The 8623-nt window shown below is 50.6% G+C and overlaps 1 pseudogene, besides 1 other annotated feature; it reads left to right on the top strand.

Annotated features, from left to right (window-relative positions):
• Positions 15 to 104: a silencer, noted in NCBI's record as "silent region_10761". NCBI's record gives its function as "represses an Ori minimal core promoter by ATAC-STARR-seq in GM12878 lymphoblastoid cells {active_cell/tissue: GM12878}" and the evidence as "EXISTENCE:reporter gene assay evidence [ECO:0000049][PMID:35858748]".
• RPS16P9 (ribosomal protein S16 pseudogene 9) lies at positions 7574 to 8114 on the top strand (annotated as a pseudogene).

Here is an 8623-nt window from a genome sequence, read left to right as displayed (position 1 = left end):
GGGACCTCGGGCGGCTCCTCCGAGGGGCGGGGCAGCCGGGAGCCACGCCCCCGCAGGTGAGCCGGCCACGCCCACCGCCCGTGGGAAGTTCAGCCTCGGGGCTCCAGCCCCGCGGGAATGGCAGAACTTCGCACGCGGAACTGGTAACCTCCAGGACACCTCGAATCAGGGTGATTGTAGCGCAGGGGCCTTGGCCAAGCTAAAACTTTGGAAACTTTAGATCCCAGACAGGTGGCTTTCTTGCAGTGCCTGCCCCAGAGCCTTTTCCTTGGTTGTGTGGCCTGCTTCGATCTCTCTTCCCACAGATCTCATCGTCTTTAGGTCTCTTCTCAAAGGCCACCTCCTCCGGCAGGCCTTCCCTGATTGCCCCCTTCTAAATGGCACCCTTCCACCAAAACATTACATACTCCTCTTGATTTTGTTCACAAAACTTTTCAGGGCCTAAAATTACCTTATTTATTTATTGAGAGGGAGTCTCGCTCCGTCACCCAGGCTGGAGTGCAGTAGCGCGATCTCGGCTCACTGCAACCTCCACCTCCCAAGTTCAAGCGATTCTCCCATCTCAGTCTCCCGAGTAGCTGCGACTACAAGTGTCTGCCACCACGCCCGGCTACTTTTTATATTTCTAGTAGAGACGGGGTTTCGCCATGTCGGCCAGGCTGGTCTCAAACTCCTGACCTCAAGTGATCCTCCCGCCTCGGCCTCCCAAAGTTCTGGGATTACAGGAGTGAGCCACCGCCCCCGGCCCCTAAAGTTATTTTATATAACATATATCACATCATTATGTTATGTTATATATTATGTTATTGGCAAGGGAATGTGATATCTAAGAATTGGGCTCAGGGTTCAAATTTGATTCCGGCACTTACTTGCTGTGCAGGCCTTGGGCAAGTAACTTAACCTCTCTGTGCCTCAGTTTCCCTAGTCAATAAAATATAAATAGTCTAAGGCTTTGAGAATTGAATGTTAACTAATACAGGGACAGTACTTTTTTTTTTTTTTTTTTTTTTTTGAGACACAGTCTCGCTGTGTTACCCAGGCTGGAGTACAATGGCGCTATCTTATCTTGGCTCACTGCAACTCCTGGGTTCAAGTCATTCTCCTGTCTCAGCCTCCCGAGTAGCTGGGATTACAGGCGCCCGCCACCATGCCCAGCTAATTTTTCCATTTTTAGTAGAGACGGGGTTTCCCCATGTTAGCCAGGCTGATCTCGAACTCCTGACCTTAGGTGATCTGCCCACCTCGACCTCCCAAAGTGCTGGAATTACAGGCGTGAGCCACCGCGCCTGGCCAGGACAGTACTTTTATCAGGGCCTCGCAAATAGAAAGTACTTAGTAAATACTCGCTACTGACTGTATATTATGGGTTCACTTTTTCTCCTCTACTATATAAGCTCTGAGGGCAGGGCTGTATATTGTCAGCACTGTTATCTTCAGCAAGAGCTTGATGCAAAGTCGGTGCTCAATAAATTGTGACTGAATGAAGGAATCAAGTCCTAGAATAGTAAGCTGGCCAAAGCTGGGAGGACACGATTCTAATATAACTTGAGGACGGCGCAGTGGCTCACACCTGTAATCCCAGCACTTTGGGAGGCCGAGGGGGCTGGATCACTTGAGGTCAGGAGTTCGAGACCAGCCTGGCCAACATGGTGAAACCCTATCTCTACTAAAAATACAAAATTAGCCGGGTGTGGTAGCGCACGCCTGTAATCCCAGCTACTTGGGAGGCTGAGGCAGGCGAATCGCTTGAACCCCAGAGGCAGAGGTTGCAGTGAGCCGAGATCACACCATTACACTCCTGCCTGGGCAACAAGAGCGAAACTCCATCTCAAAAATAAATAAATGCATACATACATACATGGCTCAATGCGCGCGGTACCCCGGTCACTACACTATGAAATGCTTCCAGCAGAGGGCGCTGCTGGTCCGTGGACCAAACTCCAGACTCGGCACAGCTCCGCGCTCCCTCCGAATTGCAGCCAACGTGCCCTCTACTTCCCTGTTGTCTGAGCCCCAGTGCTGATGCTTCCTCCTCCAGGAAGCCCTTTCTTATTTCCCAGGTTTCCAGGCTCTTGGGCTCCCACATCCAGCCCTGCCAACTCTGGGTCATCAGTGTGGGGAGACAGGTCAGTCCCATATTAGACTATGAGCCCCAAGAAGGGAGGAGGCGGCCAGGGGCCATGTCAGTCTCCACTGTGTCCCCAGTGCCACCTAGCACAGGCCCAACGCAGAGAAGGCATTTGGGAGAATAGGTGCTGATTGAATCATGGAAATAAAAATTCAAACTCATATCCTAACTACTCCAGCATTTTTTTTTTTTTAAGACAGTCTTGCTCTGTTGCCCAGGCTGGAGTGCAGTGGCACGATCTTGGCTCATTGTGTAACCTCCGCTTCCCAGGTTCAAGCGATTCTCCCGCCCCAGCCTCCCAAGCAGCTGGGATTACAGGCACCCACCATCATGCCTTGCTAATTTTTATATTTTTGTAGAAATGGAGTTTCCCATGTTGGCCAGGCTGGTCTTGAACTCTTGACCTCAGGTGATCCACCCACTTCGGCCTCCCAGAGTGCTGGGATTATAGGCGTCAGCCACCATGCCCGGCCTACTCTAGCTTTTTTAAAAGACAGGTGTCACTCTGTCACCCAGGCTGGAGTGCAGTGGCAGTCGTAACTCACTGCAGCCTTGATTTCCCGGGTTTAAGCAATGCTCCCTCCTCAGCCTCCCAAGTCCCAGGTAGCTGGGACTACAAATGCACCACCATACCCAGCTACTTTTTGTTGTTTTTTGTAAAGATGGGGGTCTCCCTATATTGCCCAGGCTGGTTTTGAACTCCTGACCTCAAGCGATCCTCCTGCCTTGGCCTCCCAAAGTCCTGGGATTACAGGCATGAGCCACTGTGCCAAGCTCCAGCTATTTCTTTCTTTCTTCCTTTTTTTAATTAAGACAGCATCTCACTGGGAGTGGTGGCTCATGCCTATAATCCCAGCACTTTGGGAGGCCTAGGAGGGCGGATCACCTGAGATCAGGAGGGCGGATCACCTGAGATCAGGAGGGCGAGACCAGCCTGACCAATATGATGAAACCGTGTCTCTACTAAAATTACAAAAATTAGCCGGGCTTGGTGGCATGGGCCTGTAATTCCAGCTTGTCAGGAGGCTAAGACAGGAGAATCACTTGAACCAGGGAGGCGGAGGTTGCAGTGAGCCAAGATGGCGTCATTGCACTCCAGCCTGGGCAACAAGAGCAAAACTCCATCCCCTAAAAAAAAAAAAAAAAAGACAGTGTCTCTGTTGCCCAGGCTGGAGTGCAATGGCATGATCTCGGCTCACTGAAACCTCCATCTCCCGGGTTCAAATGATTCTCCTGCCTCAGCCTCCAGAGTAGCTGGGATTACAGGTGTGCACCATCACGCCCAGGTAATTTTTATATTTTTAGTATAGACAGGGTTTCGCCATGTTGGCCAGGCTGGTCTCGAACTCCTGACCTCAGGTGATCTACCCGCCTCGGCCTTCCAAAGTGCTAGCTCCAGCTATTTCAACAGCACAGGATCGAGGGGCAGCAGAGCCTTCCCCCTGCCCCCCATTTTTTTGGCCTCACGACGCTGGACATTGGATCTGGATCTGCTACACGCTTACCACAGGCAGTGCAGGGACTGGAGCCAGGCCAGCAGGGACAAATCTCAGCTGGGTCATTTGCTAGCTGTGTGACCCTCTGAGCCAAGAAGTAACCTCTCTGGACCTCAGATTTCTAGTCTGTCAAACGAGACTCACAGGGTACCCTACTTTAAGGCTGTGGTGAGGATTACTGTATAATCCCCCAGAAAAGGCTTAGAACAGGGTAGCACCCGGTAAATACTATGTGTGTTGGGGGAGGGCAGGGGATGGAGCCGGGCGGGGAGCCAGGCAGATCTAGGTTTAAATCCTGGCCCTGCCATTTCTGTTCCATGTAAACCGGGGGAACAATGATCTCTGGCTGAGCCTCTGTCTCCTCGTCTAGTAAAATGGGGATGATCACACTCATCACACAGCATTGAGGTGAGACTTAAATGAGATAAAGATTGAAAGAAGAAGAAAGTGTTAACTAAGGAAAACCTTTCTTGCTTTTGTTGCTGCTGTTGTTGTTTTTGTTTTTTTGAGACGGAGTCATGCTCTTTCTCCCCGGCTGGAGTGCAGTGGCACAATCTCGGCTCACTACAACTTCCGCCTCCCAGGTTCATACAATTCTCCTGCCTCAGCCTCCGGAGTAGCTGGGACTATAGGCACGTACCGCCATGCCCAGCTAATTTTTGTATTTTTAGTAGAGACGGGGTTTCACCGTGTTAGCCAGAATGGTCTTGATCTCCTGACCTCGTGATCTGCCTGCCTCGGCCTCCCAAAGTGCTGGGATTACAGGCGTGAGCCACCACACCTGGCCAGGAAAACCTTCCTTTAGGCCAGCGGTGTTCCAAGTACTTTTGCACAACGCCAACAATGGCTGATGTTTGAGTTCTTACCCCAGACTGGCCCTGTGCCAACTCCTATATACAAATTGTTAATCTTCACACCAGCTGCGATGATTCGCTCCATTCCACAGGTGAAAAAGATGAGGCACAGAGAGGCTGAGTAACTTGTCTTAGGTCACACAGCCAAGGAGTAGCAGAGCCCCAGAATCTTTGTAGCTGACCCCCCAAGGTAGGCACTATTACCAGCCCCACCTAAAAATGAGGAAACTGGCCGGATGTGGTGACTCATACCTGTAATCCCAGGGCTTCAGGAGGATTGCTGGAGCCTAGGAGTTTGAGACCAACTTGGGGAACATAGGATGAACCTATCTCTACAAAAAAAAATTTATTTATTTATTTTTTTTGAGATAGAGTCTTACTCTGTCGCCCAGGCTGGAGTGCAGTGGCGTGATCTTGGCTCACTGTAACCTCCGTGCCCTGGGCTAAAGCAATTCTCCTGCCTCAGCCACCTGAGTAGCTAGGATTACAGGAACCACACCTGGCTAATTTTTTTGTATTTTTAGTAGACATGGGGTTTCACCATGTTGGCCAGGCTGGTCTCAAACTCCTGACCTCAAGTGATCTGCCCACCTCAGCCCCCCAAACTGCTGGGATTATGGGCGTGAGCCACCGGGCCCAGCCTGTTTATTTTTTTGAGATGGAGTCTTGCTCTGTCGCCCAGGCTGGAATGCAGTGGCACGATATCAGCTCACTGCAACCTCCGCCTCCTGGGTTTAAGCAATTCTCCTGCCGCAGCCTCCTGAGTAGCTGGGACTACAGACATGCGCCACCACCCCCGGCTAATTTTTGTGTATTTTTAGTATAGACAGGGTTTCACCATGTTGGTTAGGCTGGTCTCCAACTCCTGACCTTAAATGATCTGCCTGCCTTGGCCTCCCAAAGTGCTGGAATTACAGGCGTCACCCACCTGCCAAAAAAAATTAAAAAAAAAATTAGCCATGTGTGATGTGTCACACGTGGTCTCAGCAACTCAGGAGGCTGAAGCAGGGGGATTGCTTGAGCCCAGGAGTCTGAGCCTGCAGTGAGCTATTATCATACCACTGCACTCCAGCCTGGGTGACAGAGTGACAGCCTGTCTCAAAAAATAAATAAAAAAGGAAACTGAGGCTCAGAGAGGAGAAATTGCTTGCATATCCAACAAATACTCCACCCTATCCCTTAAGGCCTTAGTTTGCCACGTCAGGAAAATGGGTACATAGGATGGGAGCTTTTCTATTTTCACCTTCTGGCCATAATTTTTTAATTTAAAAAATAATGGCCAGGAGTGGTGGCTCACGCCTGTCATCCCAGCACTTTGGGAGGCCAAGGCAGGTGGATCACTTGAGGTCAGGAGTTTGAGACCAGCCCGGCCAACATGGTGAAACCCCGTCTCTACTAAAAATGCACACAAAGGCCGGGCGCAGTGGCTCACGCCTGTAATCCCAGCACTTTGGGAGGCCGAGGCGGGCGGATCACGAGGTCAGGAGATCGAGACCACGGTGAAACCTCGTCTCTACTAAAAATACAAAAAATTAGCTGGGTGCAGTGGCTGGCGCCTGTAGCCCCAGCTACTCGGGAGGCTGAGGCAGGAGAATGGCATGAACCCAGAAGGCAGAGATTGCAGTGAGCCGAGATCGCGCCACTGCACTCCAGCCTGGGGGACAGAGCAAGACCCCGTCTCAAAAAAAAAAAAAAAAAAAAAAGGCACACAAAAAATTAGCCGGGCATGGTGGCACGTGCTAGTAGTCCCAGCTACTCGGGAGGCTGAGGCAGGAGAATTGCTTGAACCCGGGAGGCAGAGGTTCCAGTGAGCCAAGATAGCACCACTGCCCTCCAGCCTGGGCGAAAGAGTGAGACTCCATCTCAAAAAAAAAAAAAAAAAAAAAAAAAGGGAATGCAGTCAGAAAAAACGTTCATAGACACAGAGAATAAAAGACTACAGAGTGAAAGTAAGCGTTCTCTCTCCCTGATCCCCGGACACCCTTCCCGCAAGCAAACCTGATGACCGTTTCCAATATACTTCCAGAGATATTCCATGAATATGATCGTGTGTGGATGTACGAGTGTGTGGACCCATTTAAGAAAAGCACACCTGATATAATCCTTACCTGTGGAGGACGACAAAATGATGGGCCTTGAACTTTTGGTGTGGCCATGTGACTTGCTTTGGCCAATAGCAGAGGGGCACAAGTGACAGTCGTGTCAGTTCTGAGCTTAGGCCTCAAGAGACCTTGAACATTTCTTTTTGCATCTCAGCATCACCATGAGACGGGCTTCCCCTGAGAGCTTCCTCTCCCCTCAGCCTGCACTCCACAAGGTTCCCATATGAAGCAGAACTTCCCATCTGAGCCCGGCCTGGATTGGCCAACTGTCAGCCAACCCCACATCCATTTTAGAGCTATTGACCAGGCATGGTGGCTCACACCTGTAATCCCAGCACTTTGAGAGGCCAAGGCAGGAGGATTGCTTGAGACCAGGAGTTTGAGACCAGCCTGGGCAATATAGCAAGATCCCCATCTCCACAAAAAAAAAAAAAAGTTAAAATGAGCCAAGTGTGGTGGCGCACACCTGTAGTTGCAGCTGCTTGGGAGATTGAGGTGGGATCCCCAGAGGTCAAGGTTGCAGTGAGCTATGATGGCACCACTGTATTCCAGCTTGGGTGAAAAAGAGTGGGGCAAGAGGTAAGAACCTGTCTCCAAAATAAAATTGTACCAAAATAAAATGTAAAAAACCATGAACCAAAAATAAAATGTAAAAAAATAAAAATAAAAATAAAATGGCCAGGCGCAGTGGCTCACGCCTGTAATCCTGGCACTTTGGGAGACCGAGGTGGGTGGATCACCTGAGGTCAGGAGTTTGAGACCAGCCTGGCCAACATGGTGAAACCCCGTCTCTACTAAAAATACAAAAATTAGCCGGGTGTGGTGGCAGAAACCTGTAATCCCAGCTACTCAGGAGGCTGAGGCTGGAGAATCACTTGAACCGGGGAGGCGGAGGTTGCAGTAAGCCGAGATCACGCCATTGCACTCCGGCCTGGGCAACAAGGGCGAAACTCCCTCTCAAAAAAAAAAAAAAAAAAAAATTAGCTTTTTTTTTTTTCTGATTGCAGCACCACGTGGTGAGGGTCTCTAGTTCACGCTCGCAGCCATGCGGTCCGAGGGCCAGCTGCAATCTGTGCAGGTCTTCGGTGGCAAGAAAACAGCCACAGCTGTGGTGCACTGCAAACACGGCGATGGCCTCATCAAGGTGAATGGGCGGCTCCTGGAGATGATCAAGCTGCGCACACTACGATACAAGCTGCTGGAGCCAGTTCTCTTTCTCGGTCCCGGCAAGGAGCGATTTGCTGGTGTGGACATCCATGTCCATGTGAAGGGGCCTAGATTTATGCTGTCAGTCCATCTCCAGAGCCCTGGTGGCCTAGTACCAGAAATATGCGGATGAGTCTTCCAAGGAGATCAAAGACATCCTCATCCAGTATGACCAGACCCTGCTGGTAGCTGATCCCCGTCGCTCTGAGTCCAAAAAGTTTGGAGGTCCTGGTGCCCGTGCTTGTTACCAAAAATCCTACCAATAAGCCCATCATGACGATCAAAATTCACCTGTATAAGTTTTTGAGAGATTTTAAAATTTCAAGAAAAAAAAATTAGCTGGGTGTGGTGGTACACACCTGTAACCCAGCTACTCCGGAGGCTGAGGAAAGAGAAACGCTTGAACCTGGGAGGTGGAAATTGCAGTGCGCCAAGATCGCACCACTGCACTCCAGCCTGGGCCTCAGAGTGAGTCAAAAAAAGAAAACAAAAAAAAGTTATTAGGCCGGGCGCGGTGGCTCACGCCTGTAATCCCAGCACTTTGGGAAGCTGAGGCGGGCGGATCACGAGGTCAGGGGATGGAGACCATCCTGGCTAATGCAGTGAAACCCCGTCTCTACTAAAAATACAAAAAATTAGCCGGGCGTGGTGGCGGGCGCCCGTAGTCCCAGCTACTCGGGAGGCTGAGGCAGGAGAATGGCGTGAACCCACGAGGCGGAGCTTGCAGTGAGCCGAGATTGCGCCACTGCACTCCAGCCTGGGTGACAGAGCGAGACTCCGTCTCAAAAGCAAACAAACAAACAAAAAGTTATTGCATTTTGGGGTAGTCTGTTTCAA

This window comes from Homo sapiens, chromosome 19, assembly GCF_000001405.40.
Source record: "Homo sapiens chromosome 19, GRCh38.p14 Primary Assembly".
Lineage (NCBI taxonomy): Eukaryota > Metazoa > Chordata > Mammalia > Primates > Hominidae > Homo > Homo sapiens.
The sequence above is the reverse complement of the archived record's forward strand: the minus strand, read 5'-3'. Positions and strand labels throughout refer to the sequence as shown.